Genomic DNA, 20879 nt, shown 5'->3' on the forward strand with positions numbered 1-20879 from the left:
TATCATTCTATTGTCAGTTTGCTCTAGCTAGGATTTTCAGTACTATGTTGAATAACAGTGGTGAAACTGGGCATCCTTGTCCTGTTCCACATCTTAAAGGAAAGGCTTTCAGGTCTTCTCCCTATTCAGCATGATGGCAGCTGTGGGTCTGTCATATATGGCTTTTATCATGTTGAAGTATGTTCCTTCTAGCCCCAGTTTTTTGAGAGTTGTTATTATGAAAGGATGTTGAATTTTATCAAATGACTTTTCAGCATCAATTGAAATGATCATATGGTTTTTGTCCTTCATTCTGTTGACATGATGTATTCCATTGATTGAGTTTTGTATGTTAAACCATGCTTGCATCACAGGGATGAATCCCATTTGGCCATGATGAATGATTTTTTTAATGTATTGTGGAATTTGGTTGGCTAATATTTTATGGAGAATGTTTGCATCAATATTCATCAGGGTTATTGGCTGATAGTTTTCTTTTTTTGATGTGTTTTTGCTTGGTGTTGTTATCAGGGTATTACTGGCCACATAGAATGAGTTTGGAAGTATTCACTCCTCTTTGAGTTTTTTTTTTTTTTTTTTTTTTTTTTTTTTTTTTTTTTTAGAATAGTTTGAGTAGGATTTGTATTAGTTTTTAACTGGTAGAATAATCAGCAGTGAAGCCATCAGGTCTCAGGCTTTTCTTTACTGGTAGAAGGTTTTTATTTATGGCTTCAATCTCATTACTTGTTATTAGTCTGTTCAGATTTTGTATTTCAACATGGTTCAATATTGGTACATTGTATGTATCTAGAAATTTGTCCATCTTTTCTAGATTTTCCAATTTATTGGCATATAGTTGCTCACAGTAGCCACTAATGATCATTGGAATTTTTGTGGTGTCAATTTTAATGTTTCCTTTTTTATCTCTGATTGTATTTATTTGGATTTTCTCTCTCTTTTTCTTAGTTAATATGGCTAAAAGTTTGTCTATTTAGTTTAACTTTTGAAAAAACTGACTTTGTTTCACTGACATTTTGTATTGTTTTCTTTATTTTAACTTCATTTATTTCTTCTCCAATCTTTACTATTTCTTTTCTTCTTCAAATTATGGGTTTGGTTTGCTCTTGCTTTTCTAGTTCTTTAAGATGCATTGTTAGGTTGTTTATTTGACGTTTTTCTTTTTTTTTGATGTAGGCATTTATAGCTATAAACTTTCCTGTTAGTACTGCTTTTGCTGTATCCGGTAGCTTTGGTACGTTGTGTTTCCATTATTTATTTCAAGGAATTTTTCAATTTTCTTCAACTTCAATTTTTCAAGTTTCTTTATTGACCCATTGGTCATTCAGGAGCATATTATTTAATTTCCAAATATTTGTATAGCTTCAAAAATTCCTCTTATTATTGATTTCTAGTTTTAATCAATTGTGGTCAGAGGACATGCTTGTTATTGTTATTATTGAAATTTTTTCAAGTTTTAAGACTCATTTGTGACCTAACACATAGTCTATTCTTGAGAACGATCCATATGCAAAGAAGAAAGCTGTGTATTCTGCAGCTCTTGGATGAAATTCTCCATAAATATCTATTAGATCCATTTAGTTTATAGTGCAGATTAATTCCAATGTTTCTTTGTTGATTTTCTCTCTGGGAGATCTTTCCAATGCTGAAAGTGGAATGTTGAAGTCTCCAGCTGTTATTGTATTGGAGTCTACCTCTCTCTTTAGCTCTAATAATATTTGTTTTATATATCTGAGTGCTCCATTGTTGGGTGCATATTTAAAATTGTTTTATCCTCTTGCTGAATTGACCCCTTTATAATTGTATAGTGACTTTCCTTGTCACCTCTTACGGTTTTTTGTCTTAAAGTCTATTTTGTCTAAGTGTAGCTGCTCTTGTTCTTTTTTGGTTTCCATTGGCATGGAATATCTTTTTCCATCCCTTTATTTTTCATCCCTTTATTTTCCATCTGTGTATGTTTATAGGTGAAGTGTTTCTTGTAAGCCACAGATCAATGGGCGTTTTTTTTTTTAATTTTATCTATGCAGCCACTCTGTGTCTTTTGATTGGAGAGTTCAGTTTCTAACTGATCTGTTGTAGGCAACGGATCAATGGGTCTTGTGTTTTTTTCATCCTTTTAGCCACTCTATGTCTTTTAAATGAAGAGTTCAGTCCATTTATATTCAGTGTTATTGTTGATAAGTGAAGACTTACTCCTGCCATATTGTTGTTTGTTTTCTGGTTGTTTTGTGGTCTTCTCTTCCTCCTTTCTTTCCTTCTTGTCTTCCTTTCAGTGAAGGTGATATTCTTTGGTAATATGATTTAGTTTCTTGCTTTTTATTTTTCATGTATCTGTTGTATGTTTTTTGGTTTGAAGTTACCATGAGGCTTCCAGATACTATCTTATAAGTCATTATTTTAAGCTGATAACAACTTAACACTGTTTGCATAAAAAAATAAACTAATAAAGACCCTATTTCTTTTTTTTTTTTTTTGACGGAGTCTTGCCCTGTTGCCCAGGCTGAAGTGCAGTGATGCGATCTCAGCTCACTTCAAGTTCCGCCTCCTGGGTTCATGCCATTCTCCTGCCTCAGCCTCCCAAGTAGCTGGGACTACAGGTGCCTGCCACCACACCCCACTAATTTTTTGTATTTTAATAGAGGTGGGGTTTCACAAGACTCTATTTCTTAACTTTTCCACTCCTCAATATTTTAACTATTTGTTGTTACTATTTATATCTGAATGTACTGGCTATGTCTTGAAAAGTTATAGTCATTATTTTTGTTTGGTTCATCATTTCATCTTTCTTCTTAAGTCACAGTATTATAATATTTTGTGTTTTTCTGTGTACTTACTGTTAACAGTGAGTTTTGTACCTTCACATGATTTCTTACTGCTCATTAATGTCCTTTTTTCTGATTGAAGTACTCTGTTTAGCATTTCTTGTAGGACAGGTCTGGTGCTGATGAAATCCCTCAGCTTTTGTTTGTCTAATGAAGTCTTTATTTCTCCATCATGTTTGAAGGACGATTTAGCCAGATATACCATTCTAGGGTAAAATTTTTTTTTCCCTTTAGCACTTTAAATGTGTCATGCCACTCTCTCTTGTACTTTAAGGTTTTCACTGAAAGGTCTGCTACCAGATGTTTGGGATCTCCATTATATGCTATTTATTTATTTTCTCTTGCTGCTTTTAGGATCCTTTCTTTATCCTTGACTTTTGGATGTTTGATTATTAAATGCCTTGAGGTACTCTTCTTTGGGTTACATCTGATTGGTGTTCTATAACCATTCTGTACTTGGATATTTATATCTTTCTCTATGTTTGGGAAGTCCTTTGTTATTATTCCTTTGAATAAATATTTTTACCTCTGTCTCTCTCTCTCCTCTCTCTTTAAAGGCAATAACTCTTACATTTGCCATTTTGAGGCTATTTTCTAGATCCTGTAAGCATGCTTCGTTGTTTTTTATTCTCTTTTCTTTTGTCTACTCTGACTGTGTGTTTTCAAATAGCCTGTCTTCATGCTCACTAATTCTTTCTTCTGCTTAATCAATTCTGCTATTAAGAGACTCTGATGCATCTTTCAGTATGCCAATTGCATTTCTCAACTTCAGAATTTTTGCTTGAGTATTTTTAATTATTTCAATTTCTTTGCTAAATTTATCTCATAAATTTCTGAACCCCTTCTCTCTTCTCTGAATTTCTTTGAATTTCCTCAAAACAACTAGTTTGAATTCTCTGTTTGAAGTCACATATCTCTGTTTCTCCAGGATTGGTCCCTGATGTCTTATTTAATTCATTTGGTGAAGTCATGTTTTCATGGATTATCTTGATACTTGTAGATGTTCTTCAGAATTTGGGCATTGAAGAGTTAGGTATTCATTTTAGTTTTCACAGTCTCGGTTTGTTTTTGTCTATGCTTCTTGGGAAGGCTTTCCAGATATTTGAAAGGATTTTGATGTTGTGATCTAAGCTGTATCTGCTTTAAGAGGGTCACCAAGCCCAGCAATGCTGTATTTTTTGTAGATTCTCAGAGGTACCACCTTCATGGTCTTAGACAAGATACGAAAGCATTCTCTGGATTACTAGGCAGAGATTCTTGTGCTCGTCCCTTACTTTCTTCCAAACAAATAGAGTATCTCTCTCTGTTCTAAGCAACCTAAGCTGGGGGTGAAATGATGCAAAAATTCCTGTGGCCACCACTTCTAGGACTGCACTAGATTAGATCTGGAGCCAGCACAGCTCTGGGTCTCACCAAAGGCCTGCTGTAATCACTCCCTGGCTACTGCATATGTTTGCTCAAAACCTGGGAGCTCTACAATTAGCAGATGGCAAAGCCAGCCAGGCCTATGCTTTTTCCTTTAGGGTGGCAAGTTCTCTCATGACCTGAGCAGATCCTAGTGCCCAGATGACATTTCTAAACATACCCTGGGCCAAAAGGGAACCTGCTGCCTTGAATGGAAGGATCCAGTCCTGGCAGGATTTATCACCTGCTAACTGAAGAGCCCTTGGGCCCTGAAAAACCAGCATCAATACCCAGGCATTATGTTAAGGGCCTTGGGTGAGCCTCTCAGACTTGCTGGTTTCGGGTGAGACTCAGCACATTCCCAGTTATGATGGCTATGGGACGAGACTACTTCTGCTTGAGAAAAGTGGAGGGAAAAGTAAAGGGAATTTGTCTTGCACCTTAGGTACCAGCCTGGGCACAGAAAGGTAGAGCAACAAGCAGGCTCTTGAGGTTCCCAATTCCAGGACTTGGTTCTTGCACAGCATTTTTGGACCGAGTGTAGTGTAAATGTTTCTTGTGCACACTGGGGAGTCATGAATAGCTTTGTAAATGAGGATCACAGAAAATGAACTTCAGATTCTTCAGTGCTATCCCAGGCTGGAGGGCCAAATGGGAGCCTACTGCCCTGAAGGGTATGTCCCAGGCCAGGCAGCATTCACAAGCTGACTGAAGAGCCCTTGGGCCTTAATGGAATATCAGTAGTAGTCTGACAGTACTCCCCACGAGCCTGGAGTGGCAGTGGCAATAGAGTGAGGTTCTCCTTCCTTTGGAAAGGGGAGGGAAGATTGGGAAGGGTTGCAATTTGTTGTTTGAGTGCCATCTCAGTGGCAATACAACAGAACACCGGGTAGACTTCTAAGGCTTTTGACTATAGTCCCTGACTCCCTCTGGACATGCTCAGGACATGACAGAAATTGCCACCCTGAAGGGAAGGGTGTAGGCCTGGCTGACTTTACCATCTGCTAAGAGCAATAAGCAGGCTCTTAAGGTCCCCAATTCCAGAACTTGGCTCTTGGAGAGCATTTCTAGACCGAGTCTAGTGTGAATGTTTCCTGCACACAGTGGGGAGTCATGAATACCTTTGTGAATGAGGATCAGAGAAACTGAACTATAGTTTTTCCAGTGCTGTTCCAGGGTGGCGATCAGTCTGCCATTACATGTACTCCCTAGTCTGACACCAAATATGCAGGCAGTCCTGTACAATTGCACCATTACGATCAGTAGATCCAAATAAGCAAAGCCATAGAAAGGGGCTGCCTGCAACCCTGACATTTCCTATAAAGCTGTGGCATCCTGTGGGGCCTTGGAAAGTAATCACACTGATGTTAATTGATGTCAAGTGGAGAGCATTTTTAGTGATTTTGAAGATCAAAAGAAAATCCTTTAATAGTAATTTTCAAGATCAGACCACGTGGCAGCTGTAAGGAATGAAGAAGCCAGTGCCAGTGAACTCACTTATTACTGTAGGGGTCTACTGGTCACCAAGGTCATCTCCACTTGGATGTGCCCAGTCAGCAGGCAGATATAGCTTAATCATTGTCCCTCCAAGGGCAACTCCAAGTCTGAAGCCTGTCATAGGGAGACAGAGAATCAGAGAAGGCTAGTGCTGATGAGTGCTCAGAAGCCATTATCTGTCCCTGCTTCTGGCAAATAGAGGATCAGAGCCACAGACTGCAAAGCAGAGAAGACTTAATCATGGAGCCCAGGAACCAATGAAGACAGCTGAGCACTGTAAGGGACAGAGAATTGTAGCCTAAGGCTCTACGCTCTGTCACCATATTTTCCAAATAAAAAAGCCAGGGCATGTACTCTGACAAAGGATATATTCCTACTTGTGATTAATTTTCATGGAAAGGCAAAGGGAGAAAACATTTACAGTATAAACTGTCCTGGAAAATTCACATGGAAAATGGATGCACAGTCTTACAGACAAACTGTAGGAGGACAGGGAATCAATTGGCTGCAGTGGTTTGGGAGGAAACCGTTCCAAGTTGCAGTTCTGTGTTTGAAAGGATAAAAGTGCCAGCCACAGCAGGAAAAAAGAGAGAAAGTGTGACATATCCTAAAGTACGCCTGTCATAGAGTATGCATTCAATAAATATTTATTACTGAATAAATGAATAAATAAATTGATAGCTACGAACTGCACAAGGAATATCATCTGTGCTAGAGGCAGATAAGCAATGATGTTCCCAGGCTATAGAAAGAATTGCAGCCATTCCCCAGGCCTTCCTGTTCAAAGTATGGTCACTGAGCAGCAGCAGTGGCATCACCTGGGAACTTGTCAGAAATGCAAAAATTTGGAATCCACTGTGACCTACTGAGTTAGAGCTTACATTTTAATCAGCTCTCCAGGTGATCAAGTCCACTTTAAAATTTGAGAAGCACTGCTTTAAAGGCATGCCCAGTACAGGAAGTAAGAAAGACAGATGCATAGGAACCCGCCGTGTGTGGGAACAGTCTGAGTACTGGGTAATCCGAGACCTAAACAATCATAGTTTAAGAGCTGTGAGGAAAGGTAGTTAAAAATCACAGGTTTCCTTAAGGACAAACCCACAGAATGAAGTATAAACAGAAACAACCACAAGTTGAGAGAGGTGATTATAGTCAGATGTTGTGTAAGAAACAGACCAGGCACAGGAACAGAATAAATGAGAACTGTCTAATGTAAGGGTCTACACACATCTAAATAAATCAATAAAAATTGAATTTAAAAATTTCCCTGGTGCCAAACATAAAAGAGAACTCCCTGCCACCTTTTTTTTTTTTTTTAGCATTCCTTTGGAGAACTTGGAATTATAAATGCTTTCTGTGACTGTTTGAGCTGCATGTAAATCTTTTTAAAAGCTAAATAAGCATCTTAACAGTTTTGCTTCCCAGGAATGCCTTTCTTGTGGGCATTAAAATGTGACCATCAGGGAGGGTGCTGCCCTGTCTCCCTGCCTCTGAGGGAGTTTATCTTAGGTGCCAGCTCCAAGCTGGAACTAACTGCTCACCATAAAATTAAAGTCTTATTTTTCCATGGTTAGAAACAATTAACATGTATGTAATGGATTGTATCTGTCTAGAAACATAATTGGTGAGATTTCTTTGTGTTTTGCAATCTCTTCAGTGGACTGTCTGTGACCCACATCGCAGTCTGGTTTAATGCTTGATTATTAATAAGACTTCATTCATTTTTCCATTTTGTGATGATGATCATTTTGAGTTAGCAGGATGTTTTACTTTTAATTATTTCCCCAGCAGCAATAATGGGGGTAAGAATTGGACAGTCTGTTATTGACTCTGTGTAGGTAAAATGATTCTCATTTCAACTGTTGAAGGACAGCAGAGTCAAAGAGGATGGTGGTTTGATTTGCATCTGAGAGTTCATGATATATAGTAATAGGTTTTCATTACATCTCTTAAAATGGAATTAAAACTGTTTGATGGTATAAAAGCAGGAATTGCTTTTTAGGTAGAAGAGACACAGTTCTGAGAGTCTAAATCTCTTGAGAACCTTCCCTTCTGTGGGAACAAAGGTCCTAAAGGTTTGCTGAGAAAACACTGACATGATGCAGATTGATTAATAGGAGAAAAAGCATACAAATCTATTTAATGTGTATGCATGGGAACCTTCAGAATAAAGACCAAAAGATACAGAGGAAATTGTAAATTTTTATGCTTAGGTTCAAGAAAGCACGGACAGCCATGTGGGAAGCATGGCTGGGCAAAGAGGGTGTGGTCTAATGTTAATAGACAGATTGGGGAAACTCAGCAAGGCCTGTATGTCTAGATTCTTCTTGGCCTTTCTGAGCATGCGTTCCTTCTTTCTGGGTATGGGGCAGGACCCTCTCTAGAATGGGGGCTTTATGACCTGCAGTCAAACAAGGTAGGTCAGATAATTTCCTTATGGCCAGTTTTTACACAGAAAGGCAGAAGAAAACTTAGAGCAATATTTTTAGGTTTTATGACTAGCTTTGGGAAAAAGGAGTTCCAGTTTCTATGACCTGCCTTAGGGATGACGGATTCTGGTTTCTATAGCTGCTTTAGGGGAGAATGGGACTGAGAGACAGAAGGCCAGAAGAAGGTCAGAGATAAACTTTTGCATCTGAGATTTTCATTTTGAGATTTTGTTTTCTGAGCCCCAACATCTCAAACTGGCAAGAATAGTGGTCTGTCTGGTTCTCAAAGTCATGATGATGGCCCTGTGGAAAGCAAGCCTGAGCACCCTACCCTTGCCACCACAGGAACCCTGCCTCTGAGGGCCTGGACACAATCAGATGCCCTGGCTCACTGATTTTGCCCGAAGGGGTTATAGCCCATAGCAGCAGGATTATCTATGAAGCTGGTACCTCTCCTCCAGAAGATCCCCACAAGTGTTTGTTTGTTCCCTCAAATAGTTATTAAACATCCTGTGGTACCAGGGTCAGCACTAGGTACTGGTGGTATATACTAAATAAAGCTCAGGTCTTACTCTCAAAGAGCTCCTAGTTTCTCAAGGAAGAAGAACCTATCAATGATTATGGCAGAGGGTGGTAAGTGCCATTATGAGTTCTGCACAAAAAAATGGTAAAAGTTCTGAGGGAAACTGACAGCTTGGGGAAGGGTCAGGGAAGTCTTCTAAAAGGGAAGACAGCTGATCCCTGTCTTGCAGCTGGAAATCCAATCTCTCTAGCCTTGGCTCTCACATTTCTTCTCTGTGGCCTGGCTAGTTCCTAAGATCTAAACTTTCTAAGTCTCAGCTTATGTAACCTCCACCAGGATGCCTTCAGTGGCCCTGCGAAGCTAGGATAGATGATGCTTTTGTATGCCTCATGAAGCCCTGCCAGTCAGCCTCACAATACATTGTGAGCTCCTTTAGGGCAGGGACGTTTTTGTACTCACCTCTGTATCTTCTGCGCCTAGCATGGTGCCTGGCATACAGGTAGTAAGTACTTAATACATACCTGTGAAATGACAGAATGTTAGGTGAAAAGCAGTTATTGAGGTGTGTGAAAGAGGAGGTTTGGGAGGAAAGGGGCATTATTGACATTATCAATAGAGGAAACAGCATGAACGTATGAATTCATAGAATACATGAAGTATTCTATGTAATGAATGACAAATACTTCCAAGTTGCCAGAGCATACATTGCAAGGGAGAAAGTGGCAGGAGATACAACTGGGAAATTAAGCAGACAGTGTGCTTCAGTCTAATGGTAAATGGAGTCAAGTGCCCTCCTCCATTGATCTCTGTTTCCCTTTGACAGTTTCTGGGAGGATTGTCCATTAAAATTGACATCTGCTTAATGTGTACATAGTACAGATGAGTGTCCCATGTGACCCACAGGGTTGCAGTATTTCCAGAAGTGGAATTAGAAAACAAATACGCTGGTCTTAAGTGCAGCCCATTGTGAACCGCTGGGCGACCTTCCCCAGAAAGAGAGTATTCATCTCAGAGGGGATCCTCATGCAAATTAGATTCAGGAATTTGGCACAACATGCAACCACAAATATATAATTAGCACCTAATATGTTGCAGAATGTCTGACAAGACCCTGCTTGGCTAATAGGAGTTTTCATCACAAGTGTGTTTATGGACAAGGTCCATGGTGATGGAAGATACACAGACATTAAATCATTTACAGCTTAGTGTCTTTGTATCCTGATCTAACCCAGTTTTGAGACTTAGTACAGTATAATCATTAGTGGGACAAGAGCTGACCTCAGTAGTGATATTGGGAGGAACCAAGGAAATCAGGCAGGGTGGTGCATTGAGATAGATCTGGATGAGGTGTCAGAGGATCTGAATTCTGTTCCTTGCTCTGTCTGAAATGAGTTCTGTGTTCACTGACAAGCCATATACCTGTCTGACTCCCACATGCCTTAACACGAAACAAGTTTTCACTGAGTTGTTTTGAGAATAAAATGAGATCTTGGATGTAGAACTCTAAAATAATAAACAATTGTGGCATTTTGTTACTAATAAAAAATCAGTGCTGAAACTGACGAAGCAGTCACTATGAGAGTAGCCCAATGCCAGGGGAAGTAGGGGATACAGAGAAGTAAAGCTTCCTATTCCCACCTTCAAGATTTTGTTTTGTTTTACGTTGACAGTAAAGACAAAACCAACATGTACATCTAATAGAGAGCAATTAAGCACTGACATTTAATGAAATCTGAGTTCAAATAAGAGAGTAATTATTGAGAGATGGAGTTGCTAAGGAAGGCTGCAAGCTGAATGAGTTTACCTTTTCTTTTTTCCTCCCTTATCTTTCTCTAATCTCACTTTGAGAAAAAAACTGTCACAAGTCTCCACACTTAATCGTCATAAAAACTCCCAGCAAACCAGAACTAGAAGGGAACTACCTTAATTTGACAAAATTTACTTATGGAAAAACCTACAACAAATGTAATATTTAATGATTACATTCAAGGCTGTCTGATCTCACACATTAATTTAACACTCTACTGGAGGCTCTGACAATCCAGTGAGGCATGAAAGGTTAATAAATGTCATTAAGTTCGGGAAAAAAATGTGCAGCTCTCTTATTGCAGGAAACATTACTGTCTATAGAAAATGCTAAGGAAACTACAAAGAAATTAATAGAACAATAGGTGAGTGTATCAAGGTTGCAAGATACAAAGTCAATATACAAAATTAATTGTAGTTTTGTATATTAGCAGAAAATTTCAAAAATAAAAATATTTACAGTATCTTCAAAAGATAAGCAGAGAACACTTAGGTATAAATTCAATAAAATATGCTCAATACCTGTACACTTAAAACTACTAAAGTTTGCTAAGAGAAATTAAGAAGACCTCCTGAATAAATGCAAGATACACTATGTTCATGAGTTGCAAGACTCAATGGAAAATTATCTTCAGATTATATAAAATTCTAGAGTAAGCCAAAGCAATCTAGAATTGAAAAAATTTATGACACTCCAGAGAAACAGAATTACTGATTGATCAAGGAATGAGCAGATACATGCATTTACCAAAACTCATGAAGTTTTATATCTAAGAATTTTATGTTTCATTGAATGTAAATTTTATCTAAGTAAAGAATATAAATCATATTGATCATCTATCTACGCCTCTATCTCTCCTCTCTATCTATCCATACATACATTTGTGTGGTTGTGTTTTAAATATACATATATTTTTTAGACATAATCATTGAGAGGGTCTAAAAGCTACGAGATACTAGCAGCAAAGAGCACATTTTGAGCCCAGATTTTGATTTCTAAATATCATTCTCTGGTATAAAGAACTAAATCTCCTTGGAGAAACGAATGACTCCAGAGCTGAGGCAGAGGAACTATGAGCTGATCTTGGGGCATTTTATTGTTCTAGAAAGTAAGGACTACACACACACACACACACACACACACACACACACACATTCATAATAAAGCAAATGATCAAAATGTACATAAATGGTAAATCTGGGTAAAAGTTACATAAGATTTTCTTGTACTTTTCTTGCAATTTTTGCGTAAATTTGAAATTATATTACAGTAAAAATTATCAAAAAAGTTGAGGGCTAATTAAAACAAAAGTCAGAATGATGATAACACCTTTAAGGAAGAAAAGACAGAGGCTATGGGGAAAGGGCATATAGGAGCATATGAAGACTTCTGAGGTGCTTGGAAATTTTTATTACTTAATCTCAGTATTAAATACCTGATTATCTTATAATTATTACTGACACTCTCAATTTATACCTATTTCTATAGATATGATTACTTTCATGAAACAAAAAGAGACACCAATGGGACAATAAGTTAGCATCCAAGATGACACTGTTTATTTGTGATGAAGTCAGGGCTAAAGCCCAAATCCATCAAGTCTGTTTCTCTGTCAGGTGATAATATTGGCGATGATAACAAAGTTAATATGCAGTTAGCCAGAGAACTCCAAATCCTGACCTCAACCATCCATCTTTCTCTACATAGTCCTATAGGGAAACACATGCACAGAAAAATGCCCTGTTGACTGAGAAGGCAAAACTTTAATACTGACCAGGTTCTTGATCCCTAAATGAGTAAGCTAGGCAAAGTGTAGACTTTTTCTAGACTAGAGATGGGCAGGTCTGACAAACATAGAAAGCTAAATGGACTTCTCCATCCCAGTCTCCCTAACTATACCAAATTTTTGGATTGTGTGTGATCCTAATGATGAAAAAAAATTTTCACCAGAGCTGCCCACTTGGCAAGAGAAACAAAAAGTCTCCGTCTGTCTAGGCTTATTTATATTCTGCTAAAGTTTTTTTCATTCCTTAGTAAAAGCTGCCCAATTAGGGTTCTTGCCCTCAACCAAGTAAAAATGATACTTACACTTGAGAATGGAGTAGAAAGTGAGTTGTGAGCTTGTTCTGGCCAGTAGACAGTATCATCTGTTTTTATTTATAAGCTATCCTAGGGACCAACAATGAGACCACAGAGGCAGGTATACAACTAGAGATTCACCAGTAGTGTAAATATGAAAAACTTCATATATTAGAGACTGTGGTATCTCATGAATAAGTCCAATCATAACATTTCTTTGCCTGCTTTCTTCTTATGTGACTATAAAACGATGTCAACAGTGCATTTAAATTTTCCTGCAGAGAGGAAATATGCAGATCACAATGAAGGTAAGAATATGCTCACAACCATATGTTTGTTCTCACAAAAATATGTGCCAATATAAGAAATGTTCCATTTTGAAGTTTTTGGCACCATGTGGTGGTGGTGGGTTGAAACTTCCATGGTGGGTTCTTTTGTTGTTTTTTTTCTCCTTTCATATTGTATCTTTACATTTTTCAGTCTAAAGGTTTCTTTACTACCACCTCCTCCCTTACCTCCTCCCTGCTCCCCAACCTTGATCCTTTGTATTGAGCACATTCCAAACAATGTCATATTTCATATACTTAGAGACAAAGAAAATGGTTGCTTAGCAACAAGGTCCTGGTAAAAATTTTAAGCATTCTTTTACTTTTACTTTCCATTTAGGGCAATGCTCAGGAAGCTGTTTTCAAGGAGATCCAGGACTAGGAGAAAAAGTCTTCAAAAAATATCTACCTAAAACAGAGGGAGGAGGGAGGAGGACATTAACTAAGGGCTTGTGGCCACAATGCAAGAGGCATTCTCAGTAACAATGAGAATGGAGAGAAAGGATCGGAGAGACTTGGTCTAGGGTGGGACAGAGAGCTTCATCTTTCCATTTTCCGTCTCGTTCCTTTGACTTCTCCAAAGCTTAACGTGGGATTCAAATGAATTAGCTGAGAATGAAAGGCACAAAGGGAAGCCGGCCCACACTGTATCAGCCACTCAAAGTGATTTTGTTTTGAGAGTTTTAGGTATAGACTGGGAATGGCAGAAACTGAAAGCTTATTTTGTCTGTTATGAGACCTCCTTAAAATATCTATCTCACCTCTATAGGATGACTATTACTATATTTCAACTGATTTTCTATCAGGGACATTTTCCCACATTATTAAATATTACATGAAAATGTGTTTTTTCAGAAACTTATGCTATGGGTATCACAGGACTGACTTACCTATCCCTGATTGTACGTTTAGTTTATTCTGAGAAACTTGCTTCTCTTAATGTTACTTCTATTAATGTTACTTCTATGAATTTACTCTTATACAACTCTCAGAAAATTTCCATAGAAGAGGCAGCCAATAGCAGAATTGATAGATCTGAAAAAGTCTTTTATTTCCAACTTTTAAAATATTCTTGATATATGTAGGCTAATTGCTTCCAGAAAACTTGTACTAATACACAAGTGAATATTTTCTGATTTGGTGGGAAATAACATGATGATTTATTTAGATATTATTTGGTTACTAGTAAGATTGTATATATATTTGTTTGAGTCCATTTATTTTTTAATGAAGTTTCTGATCATGTTATTGCCCATTTAGTTTCCATTTGAGTATTTTTGTTGATTTATAAAGCGATTACACAAACACACATTCACACGCACACTCAGGAAGTATTCTTTATACAATGACAAATGAAGTAAGAAGGTGGGGTCACAAGAGGAGGAGCTAATATAAAGGATATACATTTGTGGTGATATTTGTTGAAAATATTTTTCTCAATTTGTTATTTGCCTTTTACTTTATGGCTTTTATTCCATTTTATTTTTGATGTGCAGATGTTTTGTGTGTTTTTATAGCAGATTAAAGAGCACAGTAGTGAAGAACAGAGACTCTGGCCTCTATGATGCATTTGACTCTTGGCTCTGACATCTCTGTGATGTGTGATTTTCATCAAATTACTTTAACTTTTTTCTGCCTTAGTTTTCTTCTCTATAAGATGAGCATCTTAATAGCTTATGGGGGATGATGAGATTTCATCAAATTAAGACATATAGAAAGCATATAGCATGATGCCTGGCACACCACCAATGATACCTGGCACAACACACCAACCACTCAATAAGTTAAAGTAACTAGCATCATGTCGCAAATATACCAATCTATTCCATTGTGATTTCTCCCATAGCTTTTATGTTCAGAAAGTCCAAATCTCGAGAAAAACTATAAAGTGTCTGTTAATCTCTTATTTTCTTCATAATCTACTTATTTATTTAGTTTATTTCTTTAATGCACCAGAATTAATGTTGGTCTATGGTAAGAAGTGAGTTAACTTTATTTTTCCCCAAAATGTAAAAAAAAAATTTTTTGTTAATTAAACTTCCACTTATCATTTGTTTGTATAATTTCTTTATCTTTTACAAGTTTTTACATACACTTGGATCTGTTTCTGAATTATCTGTTCTATTCTGTTGTTTTGCCTTTTGATTTCTATTCTAGTGGCATATTGGAAAAAATTAGTACAAGTTTTAATATTTAGCAGGTGAATTCTGATCTCATCGTTTTTAATATTCTCTTAGCTATTTTTAACTGTGAAATAGTTCAGGTGGTTACTTGAACCATTTTAATGTACTAAAAATATTATTGAGATTTTGAATAGGATTATTCTTATCTATTAATTGATTTAGGGAGACAGTTTTAAAATATTTTTTAAAAATTTAATTTTTTAGTTGCAAAATCCTCACTTATATCTCCCAATGGATTTTTTTAGTGTTTTCACAAAGCTTCCCACACATTTCTTGATATTATTAAAAGTTAATATTTTTTGCTAATTGTAAAAATAATTTTCTTTCTTTGTATATCTAACTAGATGTAGGAGGAAACAAGTTAAAAAGTTCTCTACTCAGTCTGAGTTTTCTTCACTTACAGTGCCTTTGTGTGTTATTTTTGCAAGATGTTTGGATTCTGAATCAGGGAATACTTGCCAAATATCATTTAAACTTGAAATGAGGATACTCTTTCTAAAAAGTTATTTTTACTAATTAAACACATTTTTATTCTGTCTCAACTAAATGCTAGGCTTGCTTGTGAAGATATAAATGGTTCCTGCTCTACAGAGCTTACATTAGAGAACTGATTTAATGACAGCTGTGGTAAATATTAGGGAGAATGGCTGGTGCACAAGTTGAGGGTCTAACTAGGGATCCAACCTCATGTAAGGTTAGAGCAGGTCTTCTCTAGGAAGATTTGACATTCAAAGTGAGCTCTGAGGGATTAATAGGAATTAACTAGGCAACCTGTGGATGTTCCTGACAGTGCAGTTGTTCAGAACGCAGGATGTTGAAGGAATCAAGACAGGGCCTTTGCAGCTGTAATGCAAAAATGGGGAGTGAGGAGGGATGTGGCATTGGGTGAGACAAGTCATTGGTGGGAGGGTCGTAGTAGGGTTTTTATCCTTAAAAGGAAAACAAAAGTCACCTTGAAAAAAGTTACAAATAGAGAAACTATCAAAGTATCTAGTACCATTTATATATACGTATTTTTTTTTTTCTTGGAAACTGGGATGGTTCCCATGGTTATTTTGCCATGGTTCTTGAAGAAATAGTTCTGTGATAGCTAACTTTCTTTAGCCTAGAGGGAGGAAAGTCTAACTTCTCCAGATTTCTTGAAAGAGGAGTTTGCTGCACTAATCAAAGCCCAACCAGGCTGGTATCTGCCACGAGATGGAAAAGTATTGAAGGTACTACTGACTTACAGCCCTGTTTGCTCTTCTCTAGTCAGTACTATCGGGGGCAAATCACGGCTCCTTTTGTAAAAGTAGCTGTGAAACACAGTTCTTTCTGTAAGTTCATGGGTGATGAATCCCAAAAGGGCTTATAGAATGTCAAATCGCCAGCACAGCCCAAGGGACAGCACATTCTCTAATTGAGGCAAGAGAATTAGTTAGGGTAAGGTTTCCCAACTTTGGCTTTTCGGGCCAAGTTATTCTTTATTGCGGGAGGCTGTCCCTTGCCTTGAAGGATGTTTAGCAGCAGCAGGTCTGGCCTATACCCACTAGATGGCAGTAGCACCCTCGCCCGGTTGTGGCAATCAACTTGCCCCCCAGGGAGAAAAATCACCATAGGCTGAGAAAAGCTGAGTTACAGATATTATAAAAGTTCTTTCTTTCACAATTAAAACAATTATACTCATTTTTTGCCATAAATTCACTTACACGCTGCAACATTTAACAAATCAGATTCCTAATTATCAAGGCTAACTCTCCTACAGTGTACAAAGCACTGCCGTATGTGTCTGCTATCCATTTATTTATGTAAACATTTATTAAACACCTGTTTTATGTAGGCACTATGCTAGTTGCTAGGGTTACAATCAAATGAGACAGTATTGCAATATCTTCCCCTAAGCTACAGGGGGAGATAAAAACATGAGTATATCATAGGGGTCTGATAGAAGTCTACTGAGAGGTGAAAGGAAGAAGAATGGTTAGAATCTTAGGGGTGGAGCTCCCAGGAAGTACAAGGTCCAAGTGAAGCTTGGTGTGGAAACCTGAAACACAGCCAAGTATTTTTCAGGCTGATAGATTTGGGGAGTGGTCAGGAAGCTTAAGACTTACAACCATATATACATATGCGTATACATACACATACACATATACATATACATACGCGTATACATGTACATATACATATGCATATATATATAATTATTTTCGGGGGCAAGGGACGGAGTCTCGCTCTGTCGCTCAGGCCGGAGTGCAATGGCGCCATCTTGGCTCACTGCAACCTCCGCCTCCCAGGTTCAAGTGATTATCCTGCCTCAGCCTTTATAGTAGCTGGGATTACAGGCGTGCGCCACCACGCCCAGCTAATTTTTGTATTTTTAGTAGAGATGAGGTTTCACCATGTTGGCCAGGCTACTCTCGAACTCCTGGGCTCCAGTGATCCACCCGCCTCGGCCTCCCAAAGTGTTGGGATTACAGGCGTGAGCCACTGTGCCCGGCCACAACCCATGTATTATAATCACTGTTTCAAGGATGAGAAAATCGAAAGGTTAAACATTTAGCTTAGAGTCGCTTATCAAATACCAAAATTAACCTGTCAATTTAACTATTCCTTGGCTTAACATTGTTTGTCTTTTCCAGTGAAACTTAGTAGTAGAATAAGAAAAACTCAGGGAGTACTCTTAACAAATAATTTAAAAAGACAACCTCCAATGATAAAAAAAATTGCTTTCTTATATTTATATATTTCAAAAGGCACATTCACAGACATTCTCTCTTGTGATTCTTTTACAAACCCTATCAGGTAGAAAGGGGATGCATTAACATCTCTGCTCCATGGAGAGAAAGAGCACTCTCAGGGAGTGTGTTTAGGTACAGTGCTCACAAGACATGCCTGCCTTTCTCAGCATGGATATATAGTTCCCAGAGGGCAATGCAATGGTTCCTTGTATTTTAGCTTGTCATTGTATTTTAGCCCAGGGTACTGCCATGATTTTCGTATCCTTGAAAGCAGTTCAATTTCTGCATTTAGAACTGAAATTATAGTGTCTCAAAGCTGAATTTAAAAGAACAATTTACTGCTGTCCCCATGAAGAAACAGAACCAATCAATGTAATAAAAAAAAATTTAAGATCATTCTGTACTTTGTACAGTTGCTCTTGTAGTCATGTGACTCATAGGGAGCAGCAAACTGCCTGTCATGGAATATTTAGAAAGCAGAACAGTATTTAGTCTTAGGTAAGTATGCAAGAAATGCATGCTGGTTAGATGAATGGATAGAAAAGTGAGTGGAAGGATGGGAAGGAGGATGGAAGGTTGGTTGCCTCTAGGAATGACAGACAGTGACCTGTTTCTCAGCATCCTGCACCTTATTGCTTTCCTGTTTTCTGTCAAAAACAAGTTCCTTGTTATTGATTTCAACAGAGTTTCTAATTCCATTTATTACCTGAAAGAAGGACAAAAGCAGGTGGAAAATGCTGAAATGAACATTTTAGTTTAGAAATCTTCTTCCCGAGAGAGAGGTGCTCAAAACCCAATGTGTTTGCCATGGATACTCTTAATGATCAGAGTCACACTTGGCCTCTCCCCCTTACTCTCCACCAGATTCAGTGGGTTAATCACTAAGTCCCATCACATCTCCCTCTAGGGAGGCATTTCAAAACTGTCCCTTAATTTCCCTGTCTGTTCTTGTTGCATTTGCTCAAACTCCCATCACCTCATCTCTGGCATAAGTGTCTCAACTAGTCTATTTTCTCCATGTCTTTCCATTATATCTTGAGCAGTATATTCAAACTAAAATTTAAAAACTTATTTTGTTTTTTCTTATGTCCTCCAAAGTTTTCAGTGGCTGTTCACAATAAAGGCTAAATTTCTCATTCTACTAACTAGGCCTTCCATGACGCAGCCCTTCATATTTATTTCTGCATAAATACAACTAAAAGCTGAATGATCTCTTCACTTTACCAAGAACAGATTTTACACATCACAATATCACATCCACCACTTATTCCTATGTCCAATATTTATTGAGCACCTATTATGAAGGCTTTAAGCCAGACCGTGAGCATCAGAAAAAGACAGAATAGGAAAAGACAAACTCCTTTCCTCAGGGAGCTCAGTTTCCCAGAATCTACAGATAAGCTCTTTTACTACAGAGTAAATGTGCTGCAACTGGATAAGAAAAAGATAAGGGAGGAGCTCAACAGAGGGCACCCCCAGACTAAATTGAGTGCTTTCTTCCTTGGGTCACCTTTGTATCTCTAGCTCAGTACTACCTGTATTATAATTTTACACCTATCCTGTTTTGTAATTATTGATTAACCCTGAAGTCAGAGGTGGAGTCTTATTCAACTTTGGCTCTTAAAAGCCCAGTTCAATGCCAGACCAACACCCATCGACAGAGTGACACAGACCAACAGTGAGCAGTTGCTGGTTACTTACTGTATGAGAAGTGCCATGTTAAATGTTTATGTGCATTTTCCCAATTGATTTCCATAATGCAGTGGGCCTTATTAATGTATTATTAGTAATATCTCTATTTTACATAGTGATATAAAATACCTTGACCAACAACTATTAAGTGGAAAAGCTAGAATTAGAAATCAGGTCAGTGTGATGCCAAAAATTGAATTCCTTCTATGAACATATGAATCATTTAGTGACAAATGAATGAAGTTTCTCTTTCTCTGTGGGTGCATTCTCTTTCCCTAGAACTTCATAAAGCCTTGGAAGAAGTCAGACACATTCAAAATTTATTTTTGCTTTAAAATGACATTTGTTCAAACTGAATTGATAGAAATGAAAATTAGTTATTTCAGAGAAGCCACAAGCTCCAGGCACATGCAAGGTGTTTGGACAGATAAGTGTGATGAGTACTGTATGTTGGTGTTGAAAGGGTTGGGAAGGGAGCCCACACACCTATGTAGAGGGAATCACACTATGTGTCTGGCTTCATGTGGCTGATAAAATAATGGAGCCAGGGGAAGGAGATAGTTCCTTTTGAAAGGGCTTCACCAAATTTCCTTCCTTCCCCCACTAGCCAATCAAGCTGCTTCTCTTTGTCCTCTGCTGAGAGGTGACTTTTCATTCTTCTCCAGGTGCAAGGTGTCAAAGAAATGGAATCATAGGGGAAGAAGCTTGCCCCTGTAGAGGGAAAATGAGCTGCACTGGGTTTGGCAGGATTTGGTGGCTGTTTCATGTTGGCTATTGTAATAAGTTAAGGGAATGGGAATTATGCTAATGAACAATACTAGTCAGTTGCCTCATTCCTTTCCCCTCATCTGAATAAATTCTTGGGCTCAGTAAAGGTTTTGTAGCCTTGAGGGCTTTTTAAATCCTCTTATGATCCTGGCTCGGCTGAAGTAAACCTTGAAGATACGCTCGAGGTCAGAACTTTTCAGAAGAAGGAGCTATGATAAAGTTGAAAGAACATGGAATTTGACTACAGGAAGTTCAGGTTCTGACTGTGGCTTGGCCTCTTACCAGCTATGTGAACCTTCCTGAGATTTAGCTTATTGTTTGTAAATGGAGATAAAATACCTGCAAAGGGGTTTTGAGGATTCAAAAATATTTTACTTGTGAAGGAGTCTAAAACATGAGAGACATTTCATATGTTTTCTTGTCTAAATGTCCAAGGTGAAGACTCCTTCCACCCTCATTCCCGCCCCAGTGGATTTTAGTGAAAACTGATCTTTGCTGATTCATTGGAATAAGTGATTAGGGCTAAGACCCAAAACTAAATAGTTGTGTAAGAGAGGCCCAAACCATAAATGAGTAAATTATCTCTAGCTTCTTTCCCTGGGCACCAAAATAAATTCTGGCATTTGCTGCTCTTC

At 37.9% G+C, this 20879-nt stretch overlaps 2 long non-coding RNA genes across 3 annotated transcripts in view; one reads left to right on the forward strand and one right to left on the reverse strand.

Annotated features, from left to right (window-relative positions):
* The window catches only part of LOC107984361 (uncharacterized), a 552293-nt gene that overhangs the window by 346586 nt on the left and 184828 nt on the right, over window positions 1–20879 (forward strand). The window lies entirely within an intron of this gene.
* Window positions 12016–13073, reverse strand: LINC02711 (long intergenic non-protein coding RNA 2711). Its single transcript, NR_135090.1, has 2 exons — window positions 12568–13073; window positions 12016–12188 (listed from the first exon to the last, which is right to left on the reverse strand). It is a non-coding gene; the product is annotated as a long intergenic non-protein coding RNA 2711 (long non-coding RNA).

This window comes from Homo sapiens, chromosome 11 (assembly GCF_000001405.40).
Source record: "Homo sapiens chromosome 11, GRCh38.p14 Primary Assembly".
Classification (NCBI taxonomy): domain Eukaryota; kingdom Metazoa; phylum Chordata; class Mammalia; order Primates; family Hominidae; genus Homo; species Homo sapiens.